The 15,990-nt window shown below is 37.9% G+C and overlaps 1 protein-coding gene and 1 long non-coding RNA gene across 14 annotated transcripts in view; one reads left to right on the top strand and one right to left on the bottom strand.

Moving 5' to 3' along the window:
* The window catches only part of ZNF521 (zinc finger protein 521), a 290,243-nt gene that overhangs the window by 189,324 nt on the left and 84,929 nt on the right, over positions 1–15,990 (bottom strand). The gene's annotated exons all lie outside the window — the stretch shown is intronic.
* The window catches only part of LOC105372031 (uncharacterized), a 46,669-nt gene that overhangs the window by 17,218 nt on the left and 13,461 nt on the right, over positions 1–15,990 (top strand). Inside the window, exons 2-4 of one of the 3 annotated variants that reach the window (XR_001753379.3) lie at positions 2,897–2,993; positions 3,266–3,421; positions 7,465–7,541. This is a non-coding gene — a long non-coding RNA (uncharacterized LOC105372031). Of the gene's footprint in view, positions 1–2,896; positions 2,994–3,265; positions 3,813–7,464; positions 7,542–15,990 lie in introns of those variants that run through there. The other 2 variants (XR_001753378.3, XR_001753377.2) reach the window with 2 other exon arrangements.

Raw genomic sequence — 15,990 nt, forward strand, 5'->3', positions numbered from 1 at the left:
TCATTTCTATTTGCCAAACTGCCTGCTCTGCTTTTTATGTAAAACTGCAGATGTCTTCTTATTAATCAAGATTCTAATACATTCCAGATGAATAAACAACTTCGGTACTACAGCACGTACCATTCTCCTTAAACCCAGGATTTATTAGAATTGCCCATTCCAAGATCTCTTAACTTTAAAAAGATGGTTTATTCTTCCTATTTCTACAGCAGGGGCCTAATAAATGCACTGAAACTATGACTTTGTCCCTTTGCAATACAATACTCAAAGAGATTTCCAGCCCTACAGTGTAACATTATCCAAATCCTTTGAAACCCTAAGTAGTTTGCTCAAACTCAATCATCCATATACAGAAATCATAGACAATCAATACAAATGCAATATGTTAGTGATGACATTAGAGAAACAATGTCCCAGAACCCTCTGCAGTATGCACCACTACATTCAGCATCCACTATACAGGCCAACGTGGCAGCCGCAACATAAAGCTCTAATTAAAAAGCACTCTTCGGTGAACAGCTAAATATTTTGATTTTGAACCTTTCCTTATACAAGGAATAATTCAGGGAAAATTATCTACACACATGGTATTGATTAACTCAGGGCTGTGATTTCTCTGATTTCACACTGGTGATAGTTCAATGGGAGTTTACCATGTAATTTACCCAATCAAAATATGTTCAAGTACTGATATTTAAAAATTAAATTCTGCTCCACAATCATTATTTTATGTATTTCTACTTGTACCGTTTTCAAGCTAAAGGAAAATAGATCTTTCTCTATGTAATCAAAAAGAAACAGGACAGGGAAGTAATAATAAGGTGTAAAAGCACATATTATAGCAATGTATGTGGCTAATAGCTTTTGTATAGCATTAGCACCCCTCTTACTGCTCCCAGTTTACTAATGTTCTTACTAATACTGGACTCCTAAGGGCGGTTCTATAAATAAGACATTTATATAGAAAACTAGGAAAATATGAAAGGTTATAATATTAACATACCAAACTCATTTTTAATTAAAGAAATAAAAAAGCCCAGTCTTTAGGGGGTTTGGGAAAATAAGGTAGTCAAATGAGACCAATTAACTTCATTAGCTTCTGCAAATACCTAGTTTTCTAACACATACCTATTTTTCCATCTGCTCCACAGTTAAATGTGTCTACAAATTAACATTTTATTTATGATTCAGGTTCTGATTCATAAACACTATGCACATATTCTACAAAAATCTAATACTTCACGGAAAAATACAGAGGACTACATTGCAACTTATTTACCTTTTTTTTTTTCTTGAACAAAGCAATCCAGATCATAAAATACCATAGGCTAGGAAATCAGCTACACACTTTCTATTTCCTTCTGTTTTTAACACAAGGTATTTTCCCTGGATATATCTGAAGAAGTTAAAATTGCTGCCTTTTCTGTGTCCTCCTTTTTTATTCTCATCTCATAGTAAATGGCAAAGGAGTTTCTTATTCAGTATCTTATAAAGTTCTCCCCTCTCTGGCCTGACATTCACATTAACTTCAAACCCCATAGCGCATCCATAATGTGCTAGAAATGCTTTATATCTGAGTTTTAAATGCTGTGCAAGTGCCTGTGCTTTCTACTGGCTTATACAGGAGAGCAAAGCTTTCAAAATATGTTGCAGGGATAAACAAAAATCAGCATGGTTAAAGGGTGTATGCTAATTCCATTTTAAGTACTTATAAAAACCTTATCCATAAGGCAAACCAACTTCCTTCACGCAGTAGTTACTACCATTCAACTGAGAATACAGGCACTTTTACAAATGGATTCAAGAGTTATTTAATTTCACTTTAACTTCTGTAAGTAACTCTTTATCCCTTGCTGACATGCCATTTTATTATTTTATTATTTACAGCAGTACTTGTTCATAAATCAAATCCATACACCTCTTAAGATAATAGCAAAACACAAAAAAGCAAAAAAGAATTTTCCTTTTGAATCCAAAAATTCCAAGAATATGTGTTTCTACAAATTATACTGTTGGTCCCTGGCACAAGCCCTTTCTGACTGGGCACCAGACCCTTAACCCCTGAAGTACAAATCACTACGGTATTTCCATTTATTTGCACTGCCACATTCCTGGGACATTACTGATCTTGAAGGGAAGCCTGTCACATTCAGGAAAATTTAGGGGAAACAATTGGGAGTTTAAAAGAATTAGACTCATTATATTTTTGTGACTTATACTAACTACTTTTACCTTCTATGTAGCAAACTTGAATATATTTATTCTATTTGATCTCCTTCAAAAAAGTTGGGGTGCTCAAAGTGGTGTATATATTTGGGATTTTAAATTTTTTGAATAAAAAAGACTCCATATTTCATGAGGAAAAGACATGGTTCCATTTAGATTTTGTGCTTCAAAAAATGTATTTGCTGATATACAATGGAGCTGTCATAAGTCAAAGTTAAATGAGAGGCAGCATTTGGATAATAAAAAATATGGTTAATAAGAAATGATCAGCATGTAATTTGCTCAGGTCCTCTGGAGAAATACAGATATAAATTGGAAATCAGTATTAAGGGCACTGTACAACACAGTATTGGTTTGAACTATACCTCCAAAGGGTTCAATAGCAGATGTGGGGGGGAACTATTTGCAAGCACCTTACACTTCTCTTGGATAATTTTTACACATGATATGAACTCAAATCCTTGCCCAACTCTTCAGTTACTCTGACTATGCAGTAATCTTACTTGGCATGAACAAGGTCTGATGCTGTCACAGAGAAAAGTACAATTTTACAGCGGGAAGCAGCATCAGAAACCAACTTGTCCAGCACATTGTTATTCAGCCCAGAGAAATTAAGTTCTTTGCCTAAAGTCCTAAAATAGTAATGAAGTCTTTTCATTTTGGGTTCTAGGCTCTATATCAACTTCACCAGCATATATGGATACTGGGGAATAATTGTGGGACAGTAAAGGCTGGCTGCACCATGCAATAAAAATCAATGAAGCAAGGTAAATGCATACAAAAGATGTATTCACTGGTATATACTTATTTTGTCTTACAGGTAGAAGCATGTACACTATCTAAGTTAACACATTTCAGTGCCATCTTGATAGGGCCAAACTACATCAACCAGGTAGAAAAAATGTTCCCTAGCAATAAAATAACAACATGTCCATCAGCTACTACCCAGGACAGCTGTCTATAATTTTGATTTTAAATCAAATTCTCACCTATCTGTAGCCTAATATCTTTTAAAATCAATTAAGTTTCTTCTTTGCAGATGCTGGTTGATTTGTGGTTGTGGCTGATTTACAAAGTCCTTCTCCCTGGTAATTTACTAGATCAAGGTAGCTTCTATAAACCCAACCTGAATGAATATGGAGTAATACAGGATTTGAGTTCCTGAGATCTCCTAGACATAAAAGAAGGAAGCAAGGTAAGAACAGGGAATGGGTACCCATGGGAGTAGCCCACTGTAAAAATGGACTTGTCTTCTCTGAATCTTATTTGATACCCACTGTTTTCCGCTGAGGTTTATGTAGCTTGTTTGATTACAGATCTTTGTCCCCAGATTTCTTCTCCACCCCACCTTTCTTTTCATACACAGACCCTTGGACTTCTATAATGGAATGGTACCACCCCTAAGAAAGAGTCTGAAAAATGAACTAGCGCAGTGAAAACCCCCAGTAAATGTTATGCAAACTTATCATGAGTTAAGCCAGAAGTACAAATTTGCTACATTGTGGAAAGGCTATAAAATAGCAATTTGTCTTACTGTATGTGCAATTTTAATGTATTCCAAAGCATGTGTATTGTCTATTTCTATTACCCAGATCATTCAAACTTTTAAGTGCAAAGTAAATATAAAGCGTTGCCTTTTTAATAATATGCAGTTGTAGCATATGCTTTTCTTGTTTTCCACCTCCAGTGTGGACCAGAAACACATAATTGCTGCTTTTACTCATGTTATCTGATCATTACACAAAACATGAACCTGTTTGAGATTACTTTATATTTTTACAATTATTATTGTTAACAGCTACTTTCACTATTCTGGAAACAATTGAGAATTTTAGTAGGTAATGGGTTATATTTCTTAATACTTTACATACAAAGTAAAAAGGAAGGTGGAAAGTTTAACTTTTTCCCTTCAAATTTGTATAAAACTGCAACCACCTTTCATAAAATTACCAATATAATCACTACATAAGAATGCATAAAGTGCTCTTGGGTTCTCGTTTTTCAGATATGTAGTAACTGAATGTATTTTTCTATATATTCTTTCCCTATTTTATTTCTGATATAAAAGAAGTAAATATTTTAATCTATACAAGTCATTTACATTCAATATTGTAACACATTTGCTTCACTGATTTATCAATTTGCTCAATCAACAAACACCTTCTGAGTACCTACCATGATGAGGCACTGTGATAGAGGCTAAGAAGATATGAAGATGAAAATGACCCAGTCATTGGTCTCAAGTCTCGTAACATAGTATCAGCTCACAATTTAGGAGAGTTAAGCATACGACCCAGCAATGCCACTTCTGGACATATACTCAAAAGAAATGAAAGCACAGTCTCAAAGAGACAGTATGTGCATGTCCATGTTCACTGCAGCATAATTCAGAAGAACCAAGAGGCAGAAGCAACCTTCCATCATGAATGATGATGAATGAATGGATAAATAAAATGTGGTGTATATATATGGCATATATATATATATCGTATATATATATGTTATATACATGGTATATATATGGTATATATATATGATATATATATGGTATATATATGGTATATATATGATATATATATATGTAAAATGGGATATTATTTATCATTAAAGAAGAAGGGAATATTGTCACATGATGCAACACAGATGAACCTTGCAGGCATTAAGCTAAGTGGAAAGTGCCAATATGAATAGACAAATACCATATGATTCCAGTTATATGAGGTACCTAGAGTAGTCAAATTCATAGAGACAAAACACAGAATGGTATTTGCCAGGGGCTGGGGAGAGACGGAGATGCGGAATTGTTTAATGAGTATAGAGTTTCAGTTTTGCAAGATGAAAAGAGTTCTGGAGATTGGCTGCACAAATGATGTGAATGTACGTAACACTTAAAAATGATTTGGATATGTAAAATTTTATGTTATGTATACTTTACCACAATTAATTTTTTTAAGTTAGCAGTTACAAAACATAAGCAAATATGATGCCAACAAAAGCATAAATGCCTTAAAAGAAGACAGTGACGATTCCAAGGAGAGAGCAGTTATGTCAGGTTGGAGTATGCAGTTGCATTCCAAATGGAGCATTTCAGATGGGTTTGTGACAGAAGTAGAGTTTCTGACTCTACGCTCAAGACTTTAAGGCTTGAAAAGAGGCCCCCTACAGGAGCGAAGTGCGGGGAAGGGATCCCAGAGGCCAGATAATTCTGAAGAGGCTCTTAGTCTGCAGTCCTTTGTGAGGAAATGGGGCAATCTAAGGAAGAAAGACAAGAACAGAGCTAGGAAGGAGAACAGTGTTGGGTCAGAAATACAAGTGTGTGTGCAGCTGAAGGAAAAAAAAAACATTAAAACTGAGTTCACTATGGCAGAACAAGGTGTAGAGCATCTCACAGAAGGACAGGTGGTTAAATGGTCCAGATTTATTGAGCATGCCATTGGACTGAGTTCTGAAGACGGCCATGGCAAAAAATACTTCAATAAAGGCACCACAGATGTAGTTAAAAGAAAGGAACATTCTGGGCGAAGTCAAAAGCACAAGGAAAGGCAGAGATGAGAAAAGTCTAGCAGGAAATGAGGCTAGATGGGGAGACTACCGTAGATCACTGGGGTAGCAACGCAGGATGGGACTCCCTGGGTAAATACACTGTACTCATAGTTTTAGGAACACTTCTGTTGCTTTGAGGAAAGTGGAATTGATCATCAACTTAAGTAACATCTAAGTTCCCTCATTTAACTCACAAATTATAATGATTAAAAAGATCTATTTTAGAAAAGATCTATTTTAGAAAGTTCATACCCATTTCAATCTATTTTTTCAATTTACTTGTCATGATGGGCTATTAAGTTTAATATAAATATCAAGCTAGGAGTGAGTTTTAGTAGTGAGACCCCTGGACAACAAGGAAAACAAGCCTGGGCTCAAACAACACATTGCTTCAACTTCTTATGTGACCTTAAATACATAACTTCCTGTCTGAACCTTCGTTTCCTTTCTTGGTAAGTTCAAAAGGGACTAGATTTCTATACTGTTTCCTATCCATGCAGTTCTAATATTCTATGACTGTCTCAAGGTGGAGGGTGAACTGCCTGAGAGTCAGAAATCCATTCGTAAGCGATATTCCCTGTTCTTCCCTGCCTGCCAGTGGCTACACGGAGCAACTAAAGGCAATAGGAAAACAGAAAATAATTGCCTCCTGTACTCGCAGGTCATGAAACCTCCTCTTCATTTTCCAACCTATCAGAGATGCTTGTTGAGTATCAAATGCATATTTTCAAATTCCTTATATCTCAGCCTTTCTGACTGGAAGAGATACAAAGGAAGGGTTGTGGCTTTCAAGTCTTGGGAAGAGGTCCATATCCCATTATAACGGGTGAAGCTCAACAACTTTCTCATGTCTCTTCAATTTAGTTTTCTTTTTTCTCCTTCAATATTTTGTATAAAGTCCCAGAAGAACACATTCACAGACACACATGCACATGTGTGCACAAATACACATACAGACATACACACACACTTCACATTTAAAAAACAAAATTTCTTTTGGTTTATCTGCCATTTGGAGGTATACATGTAGTATTCCCTTCTGTATGTATAGGCTATAGATTAAATAAAGACAATTCTATACTACATTATTGATAACGAGGCACTCTCATAATTGATAAGAATAATAATATTAAAAGGTAGACACCACTTCCTGTTCGTTACCTTCTTTGTTTTCAGAAAAAAAGTCACTTGCTTTGTTTCACATTTAGTAGCTGTTATTGACGATAAGGTTTGGATAATATCACTGGAGAATTGCTTTTATTCCAGCAAGACAGCATTCTTAGAATATGCCCATAGACTATTACAAAATGTACAGCTTGCCCAACATGAATCACAGTGATAGGATTAGGCCCAAAGGGAGCTATGACAACTCTCTACAAGTAACTGAAAGGTGCAAATGGCAGGGAGGGAAAAGAATTATTTAAAGAGGTCCGAGGTGTATGTGAAGAGGGATTAAATTAAGCAAAGGAAAATTCAGGTTTTATATCAAGAAAAAATTCCTAATGGCAATATGTTAAAAGAATAGCTTCCCAAGAAATGTGTCGGAAGCTGAGATGCTGGAGGGAATTTTAACTGTAACTGAAACAATACTGGAAATAGACCATAAGGACAGAAGCCCATGCCGGTGAGAGATGAGCTTGTTGACCCACCAGCTTTCCTATCTTCTTCTCTATCATGCTATGGATCTTTCTGAAGAAAATAAGAGATTAAAGACTGAGAACTAGCCTATCAAAAATGACACTGGAGACACGTGGCCTCTCTATTTATAAAAGAAGACCACTTATATGGGTTTCCTATGGGCTGCCTCTCCATCTACACAACAGGGTAAGTGAAAATGTTCTCCAAACACAGAGTATCATTTAGGTATAAAATATTATAATAAAAATAATAGCTATCATCTATTGAGTAATGACAATGTGCCAGGCACCCTGCTACATGCTTGATATGTGTCATGTCATTTACACTTCACAAAAACCTGTGAGCTTTCACAGATGAGAGAACCAAGACCTAATATGTGCCTAAGAACACAGAGTCCATAAGTAGTGGAAGATTTGAACCCATGTAGTTAGAGGTCAGTGCCTGAGCTCTCAATTCCTGAGCTACTTTCAACAACATGGCAGCTAAGAAAGTTTACACCAAAAAGAGAAAGCTAGTCTTTTTGTTTTAATCTTTTTACCCAGCGTAGGTACCAGGAGGGATCTCTGAAAGGCAGGTTACTCCTCGCCAGGAGTAGGATCAAATCATGAGCTTATTTTAAATTGGCCCATTCTAGGTACAGTCTTGGCCAAGTCTGGATTTGTAATTTAGCAGAAAAGAAACTTTTGAGGCAGCCCTTTGATTCAATTCTTGTGACCCTTGTGAAATAAACCTTCTTAAGACTGAGTTATGGTATCAATTTGCTTCAATCCAACAAATATGTACACTGTGATGCACTCAAGGGGCTAATATCTAGCTGGGGATCAGATTAGTTCATCTCCAAAGTAGTTGGAGAGGGCACCACGGGCGTAAACTTCCAGGAGCAGAGGTAAGAAGAGAGCTGAAGGGAGTAGAGAGGAAAACAAAAACAGCAACAGGAGGGTGGAGTCGGGGTCCAGGTGAACTAGAATTTCAAGACGATCATTCCATCCACGCATTGGGCAATAAAGATCTGTTGAGTGCCTACCATGTGCCAGGCACTGGGAACACAGCAGTCAACGGTATTTCAGACTTTATGGAGCTTACAGGATAGTCAGAAGACAGACATCACCCAACAGCAGTTCACAGAGAATGTGGTCGTGGACGCACCTAGACTGGGGCTCAGTGAAGGCCTCCCAGAGGGAACACCCCTTAAACTAAAAGGAAGAAGAGGAGGCAAAGAGGTGATTGACTCCAGACAGAAAAGCACAGCATGAGGACAGGCCAAGGAAGAAAAAGTGCTTGGTCAGTTCAAGGAATAGAGAGCAAGTGGGGCTACCAGAGCAAACAAGGGGGAGGTTGGGGAAGAGAAAGCTACAAGATTCTGCACAGGCAAATTATGTAGGGAGTGTAAGGTGCATAAAGGACTCTGAAGTTCATTCAAAGAGCCTTGGGAAACACTGAGAGCTTTTGAGCATGAACTGATTTGGTTCCAAGACAACATAATAGTAAATGCCAAGGTCTTCTGATTCAGACACATCCTGGGTTCAAATCCCACTTCTGTCACTTATTCACTATGTGCCCCATGTCTCATACAAAAAAAAGAAATGCTAAAATAAAACAAAGCAAACAAAAAATAAATAAATAAAACAATGCCTACCTCTCCTAAGGTTGGCCAGAAGGATTAAGTAAGCTAAGGTTGGTAGTTTAGTGCATTTCTGGAAATGTGGTCAGCATTAAAAAGAACAGGTAGCAACATAAAATAGGGATATAAAGTATGGGTGGGGTGGTGGGTCGGAGCATGGGATGTGGAGGAAGAAAACCTTAAGCAAGTTACTTAACCTTTTCTTCAGAACCTCAGCATCTTCATCTGGAAAACATGTTTCAACTTCATGGATTTCTTTTAAAAATTCAATGGAAAAATATGTATTATATCTAGCACATAGTAAGTACTTAGTAAATTATTATTACTATTGCTAGTAATAGTAACAATATACGGTATTATCCATAAAACTTTATACTTTTTGGCATGTTACTCCAAAAAAGCAGTGGATTTCCTACTATTATAATTACTCATGTGTCTTACGTATTCTTATTGAACTCTGTGGTGCTCAGAATATTTTCTCAGCATTATGTTATCTCTTCAATCTTCAAAATCCCCAGGAGAGTCATAGGTACAAATGAAAATACTGATGCACGTGGAAAGTAAAACCCCATAAGGAACACAAGAAGGAAAATATAGGTCACCAGAGTTCAACTAAAATGTAACTGTTACTCTATAAATAATAGATATCTTTCTTAAAATTAAGGCACAATTTCAACAGAGTAAAATACGAAAACCTGGAAACCTTTTCTTCAGGATACTTCATAAAGCAAGCTCCTTCTCTGCTTTTGCCTGTCACTTTCCAGGCTTCCAGAGTGTCACTGCAGTGCTACAGTGAGGTGGTTAAAGTATGAACCGGAGGGTCTGAGAGGCAATTTGCATCTCTGGGAATTCATGTCCAGAGTCCTCCTCAGTTTGGCCAACGTCAGCTGCATCAGAGCACCTCCAGTTACTAACAAAACAGAGACTCTGGGGGCAAGTGAGTTAATACATTTTAGACCTAACTAAACACCTGACCTGTCTGATTAGCAGGAGCTAGGGGATGACCTTTAAAACTCAGTGCTCAAACTTGATTCTGAACTCATCTTCCTTCTTGTTCCTAGAGTACCCCATACCCTCTGTGGTCAACGAGACTGATTCCCTGCTCAATTTTACAATTTTATGCTATTTGCCATTCTTGTCACATAGTATGCTTGGCACATTAAAGGGGCCTAAGAAGGGTTTGTCTACTCGGTGAATGAGTCCATCTTCCCAATTTCTCTATCACAACATATATCTTACTTTCCTATACTTATGAATAGTTAGGAAGAAAAACAAAAAGCCAAAAGAATTTATTTGATTTCCTCCTCCTCTCCCTCCTTCACTTTCTATCCCCTTTTTCCTTCTCTCTCCCTTCTCTCCTCTATTTTTTCTCTCTGTGTATATGCTTTTTTTTTTAATTTTTAAAAGCCACTCAATGAAGAGATTGAGCAGAGGCTGTCCAGTCTCGGAAACAGTGGTTCTCCCTGACCAGATGGAACTCTATTAAGCTTGTCTCCATGGAATGTGCTTAAAGGAAAGCGGCTCTGCTGAAAGTCCTATATATTTAAGCAATGCCCAGAGTTGCTGAGTCTAACCGTAACTTATTACCCACCCCCTGCTGTGCGGAAGGACTTGGGCATTTTACCTCATCAGCGTTAAAGAAAAGGAGCCAGGAGTTTTTAAACAAACACAGCAACAGACCAAACATCCTAAAACTCTTAAGTTTTTACTAGGATTATAAAACTCTTAGTTAAGTAAACCAACAATTAAGAGACAGTAGCACAATGGACAATAGCTTTTGCCTTATAAAGGACAGACAGTACAAGAAGTCCCTATACAGTACAAGGAAACAATCACTTACGTCCCTTTATCACTTATGTCTTATGTCATCTTTCTTTACACTCATACCATGGGAGTCTTCCATGGCCCTCCCACAAGACCTGCTCTGAAAAAAATATTAGAAAATTATAGAGAACTGGTGAGTTCAAAAATGGGATGATTTCCTTTTTGAAAACAGCAACAATTTTAAGGCAGATACTTTTCCCTGGGGTTTTACATTCACATGGTATAGTACTCTTTTATAGAAATTCCTGTACTCCAAAATATCTTTCCTCACAGTGCTTGAATGATTTTTTTCCGTCTTGTTACACTACTTGAAGACAACACATTAGTTTTTGAAGTTGACCTTTTGTTTAGAAAGTACAAAAACATCTGGGAAGATTAACTATGTTGGTTATCCACATCTTAGCATGAATTTGCTCTAAGGAGGAATTCATTTTGTCATTCTATAAACATTTACTGATCATCTACTATGATCAGAGAAAAACAGAATCTCTGCCCTCATGAAACTCATGGGTAAGAAAAGCAATAAACAAACTATCAAAATAATAAAGTGGTAAGTTTTTTGATATGGCAAATAAATACAAGGAGAAATAAGACCACAGTGTCAATACCTGGCTCAAAGAGACAGGAGGGCTGCCTAGGGCAGTGAGTAAAGAATAAGAAGGAGTCACCTACACCTGTCATGTAGGGGATGTTTTAAAGGATATCCCAGGGACAGTCTGGGATGGTTTGAGCAGCTGATAATGCCAACAGACCTTTAGAGAGAATCAGGAGGTAGAAAGGGGCTGAGGAATAGAGTGAAAATACTGCCAAGAAACAGCTTTGTCCATTGCAAACTTTCTCTGAATGTCAACTTAGATACCACTGGTGAGTAACTGTGAAGCAGGACAGAGCACAGAGTACTAGAAACGGCCAGTGGAATATCTCCTTTTCTGTTTTGTAATTATTTGCTTGGACAATTCCCAATAAACCACTAGTAGTTAGGCACTGTTTTAGATTACAAGACTATGTTCTCACAAATTCCAAATCTCTTAATCAAAACCAAGGTCAGAATGAGTCTCACTTAGCCCCAGGACAAAAGTTTATTAAAGCATCCAGAATTAGAAGGTAACTTTGATATCTAAATTTAGCTCCCAGTGCCTGGCACGTGGGAGACACTAATTTCATCCATCCTTCAAACCAGTGATTCTGACCATGATCAAGATACAGTATCACAGTTACTCTGATTGATGAAAAAAAAAAGTTAGGTCAATAACTTGCTTTTTTTTTTGTTTTTTTGAGACAGAGTTTCACTCTTGTCGCCCAGGCTGGAGTGCAGTGGCACGATCTTGGCTCACTGCAACCTCCACCTCCTGGGTTCAAGGGATTTTCCTGCCTCAGCCTCCCAATTAGCTGGGATTACAGGTGCTTGCCACCACGCCCAGCTAATTTTTGTATTTTTAGTAGAGACGGAGCTTCACCATGTAGGTCAACAACTTTGTTTGTTTGTTTGTTTTTGGAACAGAGTCTCGCTCTGTCGCCCAGGCTGGAGCACAATGATGCAATCTTGGCTCACTGCAACTTCTGCCTTCCGGGTTCAAGCCATTCTCCTGCGTCAGCGTCCTGAATAGCTGGGACTACAGGTGCACACTGCCATGCCCAGTTAATCGTTTGTATTTTTCAGTAGAGACGAGGTTTCACCGTGTTAACCAGGGTGGTCTCGAACTCCTGAGCTCAGGTTATCCGCCCACCTCAGCCTCCCAAAGTACTAGGATTACAGGCATAAGCCACAGCACCTGGCCTAGGTCAATAACTTTCTTAACCTATATGTAAGAATGAATAAATAGGTTATTAGCTTTTTCATTAGAATATCACCATTATACCTGTGATACTGTTAACTATTTGAAATTTAACAGTGCTAAATTTTGTCATGTAACAAAATCTTTTTATATCCAAAGTATTTTACTTGTTCCAGATAGATACCATGAAAAAGGTGTGGTACCCTCATTATTGTGATGAATTGAAATCAGGTACCTGGTTCAAGCAGTTATCACCAACTTTCTAAACTCTTTGGACCGCAACTACTCTTGTATCTCAGGAAACTATTATCCTAATTTGTAGAGCTATGAGGATTAAATGAGGGGATTAGGATATTCATTCCTGGTATTTTTACTCTGCCATTTTGTTCCAGCATTTTGAGTCTTAGAATGTTGAATATAAGCACTTTACACAGAATTTTGTCAGTACAGATATATTTTTGTCATTAACAAATTTCTGGAATATACTCAACTGAGTTGATTAAATTCCTTCATCAATTTCTTATACAGCACTATTAACTACACTATTTTTTCCCATTTTAATTCTTGTTTCACTGAAATTATTTTCACTGGGATCAGCTCATTTTTATTAAAATTATATGATGATAATTTGATTCATTTATCAATTTTGTCCATATTAAACATATTATGAGTTTCCTAAGATCAATATTTCTACCAAGTTCAATTTTTGTGATTCAAATTTTGAAGAATTACATTTTGTCAAGATCTCATTCCTCTGTCAATTTTATTCAAAACCAAATTTTATGGAGTTTAATTTACATCTTCATAATGTTTATTTTTATGTTCATTATTTCTTTCAGTAATTTTCATTGTTAATTAAACAAAAGCCCGAAAGTTCTATTTATTTGTTAGCTAAATCAAGGAACTCTGATTAGATACTTTATAAGAGGGAAGAAAACAGGGTGAAACAGAGGGAAGAAACAGAAAAAGCTTCAGGAAGGAGGAGAGGAAAATGTGGACACCATGAAAAGGAAAAGAATACAGAGAGAGAAACACCAAGTATGGCAGGAAGGAGAAAAGGAAGGAAAAAGTCTGCAGGAAAATAACAGCATATTCCTCTGGGTGAAAATAATGGAAACCAACTATCACCGGGGAAAAATAAACAGCTTCATTAAACAACAAAGCATAACTATTATTATTTGATTTTAATAGGTTCCCTTCTAAAACTGTGTTGGTAAGTCAACTGTTATTCATGACATACATTTTTAAAAATATTAAACAAAAATCTAAATTTCAGGTGACTTAACAGCACCATCCTCTGTTCTGAACACTCACAAGTTGCCACCTAACTGATGTTACTTAACTCCAGTGTTCAAAATACTTGCTCAGGTGTTGACTGTTGGGAACAACAAATGTGAGACAAAAAGCAGAGGCCAAAGTAGAAGAGGAAGAAAGGATAATTAGATCTTTACCTCTCCCATTCTTGGACTCAGGACTGGCTCTTGGTAGAATTACAATAAATGAAGTTATCATAAACATTCCTGCTTTCTTTCCTGAACTTAATTACTGTTACCCAGTTTCTCTCTCCCCCTGATATCAGAACCCTCTTAGTGTCCTAAGATCTCCCTCTAAGAGACTCTAGGAGACATTTATTCAGACACCTAAGGAGCGCTCTACATATCCATCCTCCTCATTCATTCTCACATCCTGTTCCCTCAATACGACTGTTCTCCAGCACTGAAAGGAAAACAATCTGTTAGTACAACAACTACAGAGAACAGTTTGGAGGTTCCTCAAGAAACTAAAAATAGAGCTACCCTATCCCATTGCGGGGCATATACCCAAAAGAAAGGAATCAGTAAATCAAAGAGATAAGTGCACTCATGCTTGCTGCAGCACTGTTGACAATAGCTAAGACTTGGAAGCAACCTAAGCGTCTATCAACAGATGAATGGGAAAATAATATGTGGTATGTATACACAATGGAGTACTATTCAGACATAAAAAAAGAATAAGATCCTGTCGTTTGCAACAACATGGATGGAACTGGAGATCATATGTTAAGTGAAATAAGCCAGGCACAGAAAGACAAACATCGCGTCTTCTCACTTACTGGTAGAAACTAAAAATCAAAACAATTGAACTCATGAATACAGTGAGTAGGAGGATGGTTACCAGGGGCTGGGAAAAGTAGTAGGGGTCTGGGGGAAAGGTGAGGATGGTTAATAGGTACAAAACATAGAATGAATGAATAAGACTTAGTATTTGATAGCATAACAGGGTGACTATAGTCAATAAAAACTTAACTGTATATTTTAAACTAACTTATAAAGAGTATAATTGGATTGTTTGCAACTCAATGAATAAATGCTTGAGGGGATGGATGCCCCATTCTTCATGATGTGCTTATTTCACATTTCATGCCTGTATCAAAGCATCTCATGTACTCCTACTATGTACCCACAAAAGTTCAAAATTAAAAAACAATTTTATTAGAAAAGAAAGCAATCTGATTAAATCAGTTTTCCACTGACTTGTGAATGACTGATAACAATTTAGCCTTCTAAAAGATACTTTAAAAATACTATAAATCGGATTTGCTGGCAAGATGGCTGAACAGGAACAGGTCCGGTCTGCAGCTCCCAATGAGATCAACACAGAAGGCGGGTGATTTCTGCATTTCCAACTGAGGTACCCAGTTCATCTCATTGGGACTGCTTGGACAGTGGGTGCAGCCGACGGAGGGCAAGCTGATGCAGGGTGGGGTGTCGCCTCACTGAGAAGTGCAAGGGGTCGGGGGATTTCCCTCCCCTAGCCAAGGGAAGATGTGAGGGACTGTACCACGAGGAATGGTGCACTCCGGCCCAGATACTGCACTTTTCCCACGGTCTTCACAACCCACAGACCAGGAGATTCCCTCCTGGGGGTGCCTACGCCACCAGGGCCCTGGGTTTCAAGCACAAAACTGGGCAGCCATTTGGGCAGACACTGAGCTAGCTGCAGGAGGTTTTTGTTTTTGTTTTTGTTTCTTTTTTTCCATATCCCAGTGACATCTGGAACACCAGCTAGACAGTACCGTTCATTCCCTGGAAAGTGGGCTGAAGCCAGGGAGCCAAGTGGTCTGGCTCAGCGGGTCCCATCCCCACAGAGCCCAGCAAGCTAAGATCCACTGGCTTGAAATTCTCGCTGCCAGCACAGCAGTCGAAGGTTGACCTGGGATGCTTGAGCTTGGTGGGGGGAGGGGCGTCCGCCATTGCTGAGGCTTGAGTAGGCAGTTTTACCCTCACAGTGTAAACAAAGCTGCCAGGAAGTTCAAACTGGACGGAGCCCACCGCAGCTCAGCAAGGCCTCTGCGGCCAGACTGCCTCTCTAGATTCCTCCTCT

Source organism: Homo sapiens, chromosome 18 (genome assembly GCF_000001405.40).
Source record: "Homo sapiens chromosome 18, GRCh38.p14 Primary Assembly".
NCBI classification, from domain to species: Eukaryota; Metazoa; Chordata; class Mammalia; order Primates; family Hominidae; genus Homo; species Homo sapiens.